At 38.1% G+C, this 15,224-nt stretch overlaps 1 protein-coding gene across 65 annotated transcripts in view, besides 1 other annotated feature; it reads right to left on the minus strand.

Moving 5' to 3' along the window:
* The window catches only part of TBC1D5 (TBC1 domain family member 5), a 585,470-nt gene that overhangs the window by 331,142 nt on the left and 239,104 nt on the right, over positions 1–15,224 (minus strand). The window lies entirely within an intron of this gene.
* Positions 5,925–6,501: an enhancer, noted in NCBI's record as "H3K27ac-H3K4me1 hESC enhancer chr3:17535720-17536296 (GRCh37/hg19 assembly coordinates)". NCBI's record gives its function as "activates a minimal SCP1, AML or CMV promoter by ChIP-STARR-seq in naive H9 embryonic stem cells {active_cell/tissue: H9 hESC(naive)}" and the evidence as "EXISTENCE:reporter gene assay evidence [ECO:0000049][PMID:30033119]".

Consider the following 15,224-nt stretch of genomic DNA (forward strand, 5'->3'; position numbering starts at 1 on the left):
TTGATAACTTATTCTTTTTATCACTGAATAATTCCATTGCATACATGTACCAGAGTTTGTTAATCCATTATCTGTTGAAGGATATCTTGGCTGCTTCCAAGTTTTGGCAATTATAAATAAAGCTGTTATAAACATTTGTGTGCAGAACTCTGTATAGACGTAAGTTTTCAACACACTTGGGTAAATACCAAGGAGCAAAACTGCTGGGTCATATGGTAAGAGTATGTACAATTTTGTAAGAAACTGTTAAAAGGTCTTCCAAAGTGGCTGTAATATTTTGCATTCCCACCAGCAATAAATAAGAGTTTCTGTTGCTCCACATTCTTATCTGCATTTTATGTTGTCATTGTTTAGGATCTTAATCCTGCAAATATGTATATAGTGGTATCTTGGTGTTATTTTAATTTGCAATTCCCTGATAACATATGATGTTGAGTATTTTTACCTATGCTTATCCTGCCATATGTATATCTGGTCTGTGGCCTGTTAGGAACCAGGCCACACAATAGGAAGTGAGTGGTGGGCGAGCATGCATTACCACCTGAGCTCTGCCTTCCGTCAGATCTGATGTGGCATTAGATTCTCATAGAAGCACAAACTCTATCGTGAACTGCACATATGAGGGATCTAGGATGCATGCTCTGTATGAAAATCTAATGCCTGATGATCTGATGTGGAACAGTTTCATTCCCAAACCATCCCCCACCGGACTCCGGTCCATGGAAAAATTGTCTTCCATAAAGCCAGTCCCTGGTGCCAAAAACGCTGGGGACTACTGGGTTAAGCAATCAACAAATGAATCATTTTAAAATTAACCATAAAATTTAGAGACTGAGTGCAATGAGTATCAAATAAGGGTCAAACAAGAATGTTTGCTGTAGTATATGTAGCAACTAAGCAAGTAGTAGTTTGCCTATGTAAAAGTCACAATGCTATTTTTAAAATACCTAATTTTCTACTACTGCTAAGTAGATTGTTCCTCAGTAAATCACTCTATCCTTGACTCATCTCATCTATGAATAATCTGGTAGCCTGACCTCAGAATTTAAAATAAACAATGCAATGCAGTGAGGGATTGTTCCATAAACACTTAGAAGGGTTGAAAAACTAAATACACTCCTATGAACCTCTTTCCTTGAAATCTGTATATTCTTCAATTTTCTTGTATTTTTGTTTTGCTGTCACTACCCCCAAGCCTCCACAAGTGTTTGTCATTCCCCTCCCTGTGTCCATGTGTTCTCATTGTTCAACTCCCACTGATAAGAACATCTACTGTTTGGTTTTCTGTTCCTGCATTAATTTGCTGAGGATAATGGCTCACCACAACCGCCATGTCCAGGGTTCAAGTATGTTCCATCTATGATACTGCAAAGGACATGATGGTGTTCCCTTTTTATGGCTACACAGTATTCCATGGTGAATATGTACCACATTTTCTTTATCAAGTCTATCACTAATGGGCATCTGGGTAGATTCCACTTCTTTGCTATTGTGAATAGTGCTGCAATGAACATATGTGTGCATGTATCGTTGTAATAGATTGATTTATATTCCTTCAGGTACATATACAGTAACGGGATAGCTGAATCAAATGGTATTTCTGCCTTTAGGTCTTTGAGGACACTGTCTTCCACAATGGTGGAATTTACATTCCCACCAACAGTGGAAAACCATTCCTACTTCTCCACAGCCTCATCAGCATCTGTTGTTTCTTGGCTTCTTAATAATCACCATTCTTACTGGCATGAGATGGTATCTCACTGTGGTTTTGATCTGCATTTCTCTAATGATCAATGATGTTGAGTTTTTTTAGTATATCTTTTTGGCCACATGTATGTCTTCTATTGAGAAGGGTCTGTTCATGTCCTTTCCCCACTGTTTAGTGGGGTTGTTTTTTTCTTGTAAATTTGTATAAGTTCCTTATAGACTCTAGATTTTAGACCTTTGTCAGATGGAGATATTGCAAAAATTTTCTCCCATACTGTAGGCTGCGCTGATGATAGTTTCTTCTGCTGTGCAGAAGCTCTTTATTTTAATTAGATCCCATTTGTCAATTTTTGCTTTTGTTGCAATTGCTTTTGGGGATTTCATCATAAAATCTTTGCCCATGCCTATGTTCTGAATGCTATTAGCTAGATTTTCTTCCAGAGTTTTCACAGTTTCATAGTTTAAGTCTTTAATCCATCTTGAGTTAATTTTTGTATAAGGTGTAAGGAAGGGGTCTAGTTTCAATTTTCTGCAAATGCCTAGCCAGTTCTCCCAGCACCATTTATTAAATAGGGAATCCTTTCCCCTTGTTTTTTTCAACAATAATGTTTGTAGTTGTGCAGTCTTATATCTGAGTTCTCTATTCTGTTCCATTGGTCTATGTATCTGGTTTTGTACCAGTACCATGCTGTGTTGGTTACTGTAGCTTTGTAGTATAGTTTGAAGTCGGGTAGCATGATGCCTCTAGCATTGTTCTTTTTGCTTAGGATTGTCTTGGATATTTGGGCTTTTTGGTTCCAAATGAATTTTAAAAGTTTTTTCTAATATTGTGAAGAATGTCAATGGTAATTTAATGGTAATAACATTAGATCTATAAATTACTTTCAGCAGTATGGCCATTTTCACAATATTGTTTCTTCCTATCCATGAGCATAAAATGTTTTTCCATTTATTTGTGTCCTCTCTGATTTCCTTGAGCAGTGGCTTGTAGTTCTCCTTGAAGAGGTCCTTCACTTCCCTTGTTAGCTTTATTCCTAGATATTTTATTATCTTGTTAGCAATTGTGAATGGGAGTTCATTCATGATTTGGCTCTCTGCTTGTCAGCTATTAGTATATAAAAATGCTTGTAATTTTTGCACACTGGTTTTGTATCCCGAGACTTTGCTGAAGTCAGTTATCAGCTTAAAAAGCTTTTGGGCTGAGATGATGGGGTTTTCTAGATATAGGATCATGTATATCTGCATACAAAGATAGTCTGACTTCCTCTCTTCTTATTTGAATACCCATTATTTCTTTCTGTTGCCTGAGTGCTCTGGCCAGAACTTTCAATACTATGTTAAATAGGAGTGGTGAGAGAGGGTGTTCTTATCTTGTGCCGGTTTTCAAAGGGAATGTTTCCAGCTTTTGCCCATTCAGTATGATATTGGCAGTGGGTGTGTCATAAATGGCTCTTATTATTTTGAAGTATGTTCCTTCAATGTCTAGTTGAGAGTTTTTAACATGAAGGGATGTTCAATTTTATTGAAGGCCTTTTCTGCCTCTATTGAGATAATCATGTGGTTTTGTCTTTAGTTCTGTTTATGTGATGGATTACATTTATTGACTTGCATATGCTGAACCAGCCTTGCATCCCGGGGATGAGGTCGACTTGATAATGGTGGATAAACTTTTTGAAGTGCCGGTGGTTTGCCAGTATTTTACTGAAGATTTCTGCATTGATGTTCATCAGGGATGTTGCCTTAAGTTTTCTGTTTTTGTTGTATCTCTGCCAGGTTTCGGTATCAGGATGATGTAAGCTTCATAAAATGAGTTAGGGAGGAGTCCCTCCTTTTCAACTGGAATAGTTTCAGAAGAAATGGTACCAGCTTCTTTCTGCACCTCTGATAGAATTTGGCTGGAAATCCACCTGGTCCTGGGCTTTTTTTGATTGGCAGACTGTTTACTACTGCCTCATTTTCTGAACTTATTATGGGTTTATTAAGGGATTCCACTTCTTTCTGGTTCAGTCATGGGAGGGTGTATGTGTACAGGAATTTATCCATTTCTTCTAAATTTTCTGGTTTATTTGCATAGAGTTGTTCACAGTATTCTCTGATGGTTGTCTGTATTTCTGTGGGGTCAGTGGTCATATCCCCTTTATCATTTTTTATTGTCTCTGTTTTCTTCTCTATTAGTCTAGCTAGCAGTCTATCTATTTTATTAATTTTTTCAAAAAACCAGCTCCTGGATTCACTGATTTTTTTTGAAGGGTTTTCTGTGTCTCTATCTCCTTCAGTCCCACTCTGATCTTGGTTATTTCTTGCATTCATTCTGGTAGCTTTGGGGTTTGTCTGCTATTGGTTCTCTAGTTCTTTTAGGTGTGATGTTAGGATGTTGACTTAAGATCTTCCTAGCTTTTTGTTAAGGGTATTAGTGCTATACATTTGCAACTTTTTTTTTTTTGAGACAGAGTCTCCTCTGTCACCCAGGCTGGAGTGGAGTGGCACAACCTTGGCTCACCACAACCTCCATGTCCGGGATTCAAGTGAATCTCCTGCCTCAGCCTAGCGAGTAGCTGGGACTACAGGAATGTGCCACCAGGTCTGGTTAATTTTTGTCTTTTTTAGTAGAGACAGGGTTTTACCATTTTGGCCAGGCTGGTCTTGATCTCCTGACCTCAAGTGATCTGTCAACTTTGGCCTCCCAAAGTACTGGGATTACAGGCGTGAGCCACCATACTCGGACATAAATTTCCATCTTAACACTGCTTCAGCTGCGTCCCAGAGATTCTGGTACATTGTCTCTTTTCTCATTAGTTTCAAAGAACTTCTTGATTTCTGAATTGCATTATTTACTCAAGAATCATTCAGAAGCACTGATGGGTCTTGACTCTTTATTCAGCTTGCCATTTTCTGTCTTTTAATTGGGCATTTAGCCCATTTACATTTAAGATTAATATTGTTATGTGTGGATTTGATCCTGTCATCATGATGCTTGCTGGTTATTTTGCAGACTTGATGTAGTTGTTTCATAGTGTCATTGGTCTGTGTGCTTCAGTGTGTTTTTGTAGTGGCTGGTAATGGTTTTTCCTTTCCATATTTAGTGCTTCCTTCAGGAGATCTTGCAAGGCAAGCCTAATGGTGATGAATTCCCTCAGTATTTGCTTGTCTGAAAAGGATTTAATTTCTCCTTTGCTTATGAAGCTCAGTTTGGCCAGATGTGAAATTGTGGGTTGGAAATTATTTTTTTTTTTTTTAAGAATGTTGAATATTGGCCTCCAATCTCTTCCGGCTTGTAGGATTTCCACTGAGAAATCCTCTCTTAGTCTGATGGGTTTCCCTTTGTAGGTGACCTGGCCTTTCTCTCTGGCTGCCCTTAACACTTTTTCCTTCATTTTGACCTTGGAGAATCTGATGATTATGTCTTGGGGTTGATCTTCTCAGGAAATATCTTCTATTTCCTGAATTTGAATGTTGGCATGTCTTGCTAGGTTGGGGAAGTTCTCCTGGATGATATCCTGAAGTATGTTTTCCAACTAGGTACCATTCTCTCCATCTCTTTCAGGTACCCCAGTCAGTTGTAGATTTGGTCTTTTTACATAACCCCATAGTTCTCAGAGGTTTTGTTCGTTCCTTACCATTCTCTTTTCTCTAATCTTGTCTGCATGCCTTCTTTCAGCAAGATAGTCTTCAAAGTCTGATATCCTTTCTTCCACTTGGTGGATATGGCTACTGATATTTGTGTATGCTTCCCAAAGTTCTCGCCCTGCATTTTTCAGCTCCATCAGATCATTTATGTCCCTCTCTAAACTGGCTATTTTGGTTAACAACTCCTGTAATATTTTATCATAGTTCTTAGCTTCTTTGCATTGGGTTAGAACATACTCCTTTGGCTCAGCGAAGTTCACTGTTACCCATCTTCTGAAGCCTATTTCTGTCAGTTCATCCATCTCAGCCTCAGCCCAGTTCTGTGTCCTTGCTGCAGAGGTGCTACAATCACTTGGAAAAGAGGCACTCTGACTAGTTTTCAGCGTTTTTGCGCTTATTTTTTCTCATCTTTGTGGGTTTATCTACCTTCAATCTTTGAGGCTGTTGATCTTTGGATGAGGTTTTTTGTTGATGTTGTCGTTGATGCTATTTGTTTTTCTTTTAACAGTCAGGCCCTTCTTCCATAGTGGCTGCTGTGGTTTGCTTGGGGTCCACCTGAGACCCTATTCGCCTGGGTCACCCCCCAACCCGGCACCTGTAGGCATCACCACTGGAGACTGCAGAACAGCAAAGATGGGCTGCTCCTTCCTCTGGGAGCTCCGTCCCAGAGGCACACTGACCTGATGCCAGCTGAAACATTTCTGTATACAGTGTCTGGTGACTCCTGTTGGAAGGTGTCACCCAGTCAGGAGGCACGGAATCAGGAACCTGCTTAAAGCAACAGTCTGGCTGCCCCTTGGTGGAGTGGGTGCACTGTGCTGGGGGGAATCCTCCTCGTCTGGACTGCCCAGACTCCTCAGAGCCAGCAGGCAGGAAATACTAAGTCTGCTGATGGGCAGAGACCACAGCTGCCCCTCCCACCAGGGGCTCCCCAGGGAGATCAGAGTTCTGTCTGTAAGCCCCTGGCTGGAGTTGCTGAAATTCCCACAGGGTAGCTCCGCAGGGAAAGCAGTCTGGCCATGATCTACTACAGCCGCTGTGCTGTGCTGTGCTGGGCTGTGAGGAATTCCTCCTAGCCCGAACCCAGTCTCCCTGGCACCATCGGGGAAAACCGCTGACTGGAGCTGCAGTGATGGCAAGCTGCCCCTCCCTCGGGAACTCAATCATCTTAGGCAGTCTCCAGCCTGCTGCTAGCTGGCTGCAACCCAAGCAGCCACCAAGAGTCTGCACAGCTCCGTGCTTGGGACCCAAGACTCTGGTGGCATGGGCTCATGAGGGGATACCCTGATCCCTGGGTTGCACAGATCCATGAAAAATACACGATTTCCCAGGCAGGGTAGTACAATTACTCACTGCCTCCCCTGGCTGGGGATGGGAGCTCCCCTTGCCCCGTGCGGCTCCCGGGTGGCCCCTTGCTCCACTATGCTTTTCCTCACTCTCCGTGGGTCATGCCAACTGCCTAGTCAGTTCCAATGAGAGAACCTGGATACCTCTGTTGAAGATTCAGGATTTAGCCGCCACTTTTGTTTTCCTCCACAGGAGCCACAGATGGAAGCTGCTTCTAAGCAGCCATCTTGGCCCCACTCTGCAGCTTCCTGCATTTTATACTTAAATATTTATTGCCTAATTAAACTTCCTCCTGCTTCCTTTTTTATTTGTATTTTATGAACCTTTGTCATTAACCAAAAGACTAAAAAGGAAAAAAGATGAAAGTAACAGAAACTTAAATCAATCAAATTAGGTAAACAGATTATCAAGCTAATTTTTTAAATTAGAGTACTGAATTCTCTGGATTGCTTTTATCTCCTTTTCACATTAAGTTGCCACTTGATAACATGATAGTAAATCTTGCTTTTCTGTTTACAGAGAACAGCAGATCTTATTAATTATGACTTGGTTGACAGCACATCACCTTCTGCTTACTCTACATATAAAGAAATAGAAATATAACAACTTATTCTTCCTTGGGTCTTCTGACCTCAACAGAGTAGGCCAGATAGAAGAAGTAACCACAGGAGTGGAAAAGCTTGCTCACCATCTCCTTCTGCAGAGCTTTTTCATAGGCTATTAGTAAATTCTTAGGTCAGAAATACCTACATTAGAAAATAAAACAAAAGCCCATTTGAGAATTATAACTTTTTGTTTCCCACCTTTTAAAATTCTGCACCATTACATTCCTCTCCATAAGGGTGATAAGTTAGGAATGACCTACTTTATGATGTTCAGAAATTGAATTATTATTGCAGTATTACAACTAAACTCTATTAAAAATTTCCAGGATGTATGTTCCCCTTCTTAACTATCATTAAAAGTTCTCAATACTATTCAGGCAATAGTGTTTACCTTTCCATGTACTGGTAAGTACCAAGAATGTTTTAGTTACATTCTTGCAAACTTTGCTTTCTGACTTTCTACTTTCTCCTCCATCACTTTACAGCTAACAGCTCTACCACAAAATCACTCAGTCCGTTAAGTTTCCTTCTTTCTTTTTTAAGGAGCCAAGAATGCATTATTACATTTTTCTATGTGAAGTATGCTATTAAATAATAGCTTGTACACTAATTAAAGCAAATGTAATTGTGAGAACACATTGACATTGTTAAAGTAAATTACTCAATTTGTTAATAGTTTCATTCCAAGTGACCCTAATTGTATTAATTGTGATACCAGCAAATTAAATTGAAGAGCATTAAACACATTGTTCTAATATGTCCTAGAGGAACGAATTCTACATTACATCAGCAAGGGAAAATAATGATTACATGCTCTCCACACAAATAAAGCTCGTACATGTACATATATACATACATGCACACACACACACGCACACACACACACACAAATGGGTCAACAGAAAAGGTTTCAATAGGCTATATAAACTATTAGTATATACTGGTAGCATGGCATAAAATGGACCATATAGAAAGAACTGAGCTTTAGAGAAATAGAAAAATTTAGGGCATCCTGTTATCTCAGATTAAGCTGGAATTACTTCACCATTAAATTGTTAAAATGTTGAGAATGGGGAAACAAACCAACTGGTGTGGACTGCAACGTGAAAAAAATGTTAAAAATACAACAACTCTCAGTAAATCAGGCATTACTTGTTAAATGCCTACCACCAAGTCAAAAGGAAATATATTTTAAAATAGCTATCATTCCTATCCTTGAGAAGAAACTTGGGAGTTCAACAGAGATAACAACACAGGCTATTACATAATTCTGAGTCTTTAGATATAATCTGCACTCTTCAGCCTGATTTACAAAAACCTTCTACCTGGCCTCGGCCTACTAGTCCCATCCTGTGTCATTCCCCTGTCACCCATGGTAGCCCAGCCACAGTGATCTTCTTCAGTTCCCTATGTATGACAAGCCTATTCATATAGTACTGCTTTTATGAGCTCTGTTTAGACAGATGCCTCTCTCTCTCTTTCTTTCTCTCTCTCTCTGACACACACACACACACACACACACACACACACACACACACACACACACACCATCCTTGTATATCTGCATATCTGGCTCCTTCTTGTTTGTTATTAACATTTAGCCGAAATACCACCTTCTCAGAGAGATCTTCTCTGACAATCTAAAGTACTCACCTTGTCACTCACTATAATATCACCCTATTTTAATTCTTTGCATGGTATTTTTTCTCTGATTTTCTTATTTCTGTACTTACTTCTCAATGTTTGTCCATCTCATGCTGAAATATGAATTCCATAAGAGAAAGCAAGTGGTCTACTTTTTCAATATTCTATTCCCAGATACTGGATGATCAACAAATATGTTTGTATAAATGAATGAACATCAGGTCTTTGGGCGGCAGCCCTCACTCTGTATGATAAAATATATGTGCCCCTAAGATTCAGTTATTATTACTGAATTTTCATAATCATCATGTCAACATTTCTGATTAAAAATCTATCCCTTCAATAAAACAAATCTATTCACAAGTCTAATTAAGGATAAAAATTGATGTAGTGTTCTATGCTTGGCTAAAATCAGTCCTATTCCATTCAAATTTTCACTAAACACCAGTGGTAAGAACTCAATGGCTATTAAAGTTTTTCTACATTTGGAAGAAGAAAGAATAGGAGAAGGAAAGTAGGAGAATTATTTAAGTACACATGATGCCATGATATAAAAGATTATTTGGCTCACACATTGACTCATCTCTGACTTGAGTGAGTAAAGCTAAATTCTCATTATTTATCTGTAGATAAATCAAAGCTAGTTGAGCTTTTTTTTCCCGGACTAAAATTAAAGATATTTGTTAAGTTCAGGAAAAACAAAATAGTCACTGTAATTTATAGGAATACAAAAATTATCAAGTGGTAGAATATCAGATCTTTTCCAAGGAAGCAAGTAAATTATATTCTAAATACTGGAGATGTAAAAGAAAATGTCCACTTAAAATAAATAACTTTCATAATATTAATTTTTATGATTTATGATTTTCTTAATTTCTTCCATTTAAAACACTCAAACTTTCCTAAAATGTAAAACCAGCTTGAAGCTAGCATAATATTCCTGCCCTTGTGCTTTCCTATATACTTCATATGAGATTCCTTCTTAGGAAATTCAAGGAGCTACCCAAACTCCAGAATAAAATACTAGTATTGTATGAAAAAAAAATGATTGCAAGTTTCAAAACAACTATTTGATTAACAAGGAAGCCCTCATTCCAGCCAAAGTATACAGTAATGGTGAACTAATTTATTTTCAATTCTCATAGAATGCAAAGTTAAGAACAAAAAATATTTGAGCTTAGATTAATGACATATTGATAGGGCAAAGTGTATTATCAAAGCTTTCGGTGAGACGTCTTTTAAGAACAGAACAATGTCAAAGAATCATTGTGGAAACATTTACTTGGAAACACTAAAAACTCAAAGACAATTACTGAAGTAATAAAAATACCACAATAACACATCTCCTTTTACCAAAAATGAGACATACAATTTATAATCTGCTACAATGCACTAAAGTAGATGTGAACATCTACAAATGTAATGTAGACTCGGCACATTAAACTGACTACTGTGCTTGCTATTCAAAAAGACTGTAGTAACACATAATAATTTTTTAAACCTCCTAAAGACAAACACACACAATGGGCCTAACTTAGATCTACAAGAAAAGTTATAAATATCTACATGTAGTGTTAGTAAAATATTTTTTAAAAAAACTCAAGTACATGTAAGGAGAATTTTACCAAAATATATCAGCTATATTAAAAAAAATGCTCCTGGCTGTTTTATTATATTGATGACTGTTATATAGCAAAGTAAGGGGATAATTTTAAGACATGAACTTGAGATAAATAGGTCTTTGGGGACCTCTACTTTGGTTGGGGGGTGGCAGGGGAGGGCACTGATATAAAAGAGTGATTAAGGAAGTCCTTGAGTGATTTCCCAGAGTAAAGTTTAATTTTTTTCTTGCATTCCTCTTATCCTCCCTTGGATATTCAAGTCTTCCCTCTAATTGAGTGATATCAAAGAAAGCAAGCTTGTAATCTTAAAGACCAGTAGTTGCAGTATATAGTTTTTTTAAATGGCTAATGCTATGAAAGGAGTTAACAGAAGCGTTGGGGAGGTGGAGGATTATACTTGTAAGGGCCTAGTTATTCATTTCACTACCAAGCCATGAAGGAGAAATCTGTTTTAATGCATAAATCAATAAAATGGAGCTTTAACATGTGAGAAGCCAAGTGATAACTCTGATATACTTTCCTAAGCTATGCGGGCTGAAAGCTGGGTTATTTCATTATTTAAAAATTCTAGGTAGGGGACTGTGGCTCACACCTGTAATCTCAGCACTTTGGGAGGCCCATGTGGGCGGATCACTTGAGACCAGCCTGGGCAACATGGAAAGACCCTGTCTCTACTAAAAAATACAAAAATTTGCCGGGTGTGGTGACGCATTCCTATCGTCCCAGCTACTTGAAAGGCTGGGGTGGGAGGATCATCTGAACCCTGCCAGGTCAAGGCTGCAGTGAGCCATGATTGTACCACTGCCTGTGTGAAAAAGTGAAACACTGTCTCCAAAAAAAAAAAAAAATCTAAACCCTTACTCTACTGTAGTTTTTGGCCCCATTAATGAATCAACAAAAAGCAACCAACATAATTTTTTGATAAAAGCTCCATTATAGGCCATTTTACTTCAATGTTTGTTTCATATTTTAGGTTTTAAGATAATACTCTAAATCACCAGTGTCTCCTCTAGTTGTGCCAAGACCAATCAACCAAAACTACCACCACACAACCTCCCATGTCTGGGGGGTCCAGGAATACTAGAAAGGATGGTGGAGAATATATCTTAAGACATGGATATCCTTTTGCAGACCTAATTGCCTAAAGGGGTAGTGGATAAGGGCTATTGCAAGGCTACTGTTTCTCTGTCTGCTCAGCAGTGAGGTTTCATTGCTCCTAGGACACTGGTAAATGAATAATATCAAGGTATTTGCAACATGGTTCAATGACTGTTCACATAAATCCAACTCTAAAGTAACTGTAAAGTAGCCTATCTCCCTTCAAGCAAATAAAGAGAATTGCTACATCAATGGAAGATTTTGAATAAAACTGAAAAGCAGATCTAATTAATAAGATATGGACAACTCAATGAAAAAAACATCAGAAGTAAGACCAGAGGACTTTTTTTTTCAAATTTTAAGGATCTAGATTTTACCAGCAGTGAGGTTCTCAACACAATGTAAGAACATAAATACAAAAAACAATCACCTAAATCTAACATTAAAGCGTAAGAATATTCTTCGCCATCTAAATGTTCATCATTGATATTTAATCACTATCTTTTTAATGTGAATTTGGAATCAGATTTTTAGTTCACTTCCTGTGCCTCCATCCACTCAAATGAGTTAGTGGTTTCTTGAAAATGACTTAACCCCTAATAGATAATCAATAGTCTTCCAATCACCAAATCATGTATTTCCTCCTTTTATACTCTTTAACCTACACAATGCTTGAAAAACTGCTCGCTTTGAACCTTCTGGAAGCTCTCATATCTGTGGCTTCTATAATTTTGGTACTGTGACTTTCCCCTACTTTGATTATTCCTCCAGTAAGTACTATTAAAATACTTCCTCTATCCAAGTTCTAATCATGGGGACTTTCTACAAATCAATCCTTAGCTCTCTCCTTCCTCTTTCCTTTGATTTCTTATTTGTCTCATACCTTGAATTGGCATTTCTAGAGGATGACTCACAGATTTCTAACTCATGGTCTTTCAAACTGAAGTCTCTCATATCCAACTTTTTTTTGAACAGCTTAATTTAGAGGAACTAGGCTTGGCATGTTCTTTGCTCTCGGATGTCACTTTGTCCTACTGTCATACCAGTTGAAAAATCTGTTTTTAAAGAGATATTTTTAAAATCCACGTATTTTTTATCCTTGTTACTGCATTCAGAAACTTCCAGGTCACTCTCCTATTTATTTAACAATCTGTCTTGAATAAAGCCACCATTTTCCTTGACAACCTTACAGTCTAACTTACAGTTTTTTATCTATCTAAACTGCCATTTTCCTTGATATCTAGGGTGAATTTTTTATTAGTTACTTCAAACCAAGCCCTATCCAAATCATTATAGATCCAAATTATTACACAGAAATAATGGAGCATTGAGCTGCTTTATTGGCTAACACCACACAATGTTTCACCAAATTAATGCACTTATCAAACACATAAGAATTATTAAGAGATGTGATAAAAGACCATGTTACTATTTTCTTTGGAATTTAGAATATATATTAGATAGGTACATTTAATATAAAACACATAACATTTTAGATTATTAGGAATCACTGTGAAAAGTTTGCCGCCACCCTCACCATCCCTGTTACTCTTAGACATCAAGCAAAATTTTGGCCCTACTGCTCCCACATTCCCTTCAGGACTCCCATCACCACACTACTCTTCCTTCTCCCTTGACTCCATCCCTTCTAAAATTGTCTACCCTGCCCTCTGCAAACCACCTTCCATGATAGCAAATATCCTTATATTCTCAATCCATCAATGAATTCTTCAACCATCAACTTCCTTGCCTACTGTTTACCTGTTATACAGCCCTGACAAAAACCCTGGCTGTTCTTCTTTGTGGCTCAATCCTAGCTGCTGAATTCTGCTGGACATAATCACATACATTTACAAGCTGGAATCACCCATAAATATGATGTCCCATTTCAACTTGTCTCCAAGGTTATGTATGTCTTATCAACCCACTTTAACCTTTTTTACTCCCCACAGATCTTCACATGCTTCGCCTTGTTATTCACTGTCAGCAAATAATGTCACACTAACTTATCAAACAAGAGATTAAAACATCAGTGATATCTCATTCAACTCTGCCATCAAACCCATGAACTTGTTGCATCTAAACACCTCCTTTTCTTTTTCCCTTCTATGATTACAACAGACAATAAGGTCCCTCTTCCTGTCTTTGCTCTACACTGCCTCTCCTCTATACTTCCAAGACCGCAGAACTCTTCTTCCACTGATTTTTACTTTTCCTAATACTGTTGTGCCTTTTCTCTTCTATTCCTCATGTCAGTTTAGTATAGAATACATAATTCACTTATATGAAATATACAGAGTGCTGGCGTATGGATTCTTCAGATTACAAAAAGCACTGTGCTTATCACAACAATGACTTTGTCCACTGGACACTTCTATTTTCTTAACTTCAGTAATCTCTGGCAGTTTTGCTCATTCTCCTCTTGACATCTTAGCTTCTTTGGTATCACACCATCCTGGTTTTCCTTCTACTTCTCCAGCCTCTTTTTTTAAGTCTCCTCTGCGGGATCCTCTTCTGTTGCAAGGCCTTTAAATGACTTTCCTTAGATATTGGTCCTAAGTCCTCTTCTTGGCCTACATGCTATTATGAGGTAATCACAATCATTGCCATTGTTTTTGCTACCATACTTAAGCTGACAAATCTTTATCTTCCAGCCCAATTCTAAGTTTCAGACCCATACATCAAAATCATTAGGGTGTCTCATTTGAATGCCCTAAGGTACTTCTAACTCACATCTGAAACTGAACATCCAATGTCATGTCCTCTGCAGCCCTCTATCCCGTCTGTACCATACAAAATTCTTTCTCTAGATTTCCCTGTCTCAATACTGGCATTATCACAGACCTAACTAGTCAACTCAGAAAACTGTATGTCACTGCAAACTTCTCTCTCCTACCATTTCCCCATATCCAGTCAAGTAGTAGATCAAGTACTATCAATTCTACCTCCTAAATAACTCTCAAATGTTTCCACTTCTATTTCCATTGATACTTTCCAGTACAGGCCACTATCATCTCACCTAGAATATTTCGATGGCTTCCGAAATGATTGTTCAGCTTCTAGTTTTTCCCCCAACACTGTAGTTTATTCACCCTACTACAGCCAGAATAATCTTTGTAAAATGCAAATCTGACCACAAGATCCTTTCACTGAAATACCCACCGTTCTTCATATAAGGGAGCTTCATCCTAGTCTTCAGTCTTATTTGTAGTCATTCTACTTTTGAACTCTAATCTTAAATCACACTGAAATTCTTTATGTTTAGCAGAGGGCAAGCTCATAGCATAAACTCTTTACAATCATCTGGCTAACAGCTACTCATCCTTCAGGTTGTGGCTTAGATAGACATCACACCTTCCTTGATCCACCATTACCACAGTTGGATTCTCTACCAATATACTCACTGTGCAACTGTTAATTCCTCTAGGAAAGCACTTACTATTCTGTGTTTATTGATCATTTACTTCTCTCTGCTGAGCACCCCCAAATCTGGCTACTAGTCATAAACACCATGGTATCTTTTTCAATGTTTTATTTCCAGCACTTAGAACAATGCCTAGTACACGCAAGGCAC

The sequence above is a fragment of the Homo sapiens genome, chromosome 3 (genome assembly GCF_000001405.40).
Source record: "Homo sapiens chromosome 3, GRCh38.p14 Primary Assembly".
In the NCBI taxonomy this organism is placed as follows: Eukaryota; Metazoa; Chordata; class Mammalia; order Primates; family Hominidae; genus Homo; species Homo sapiens.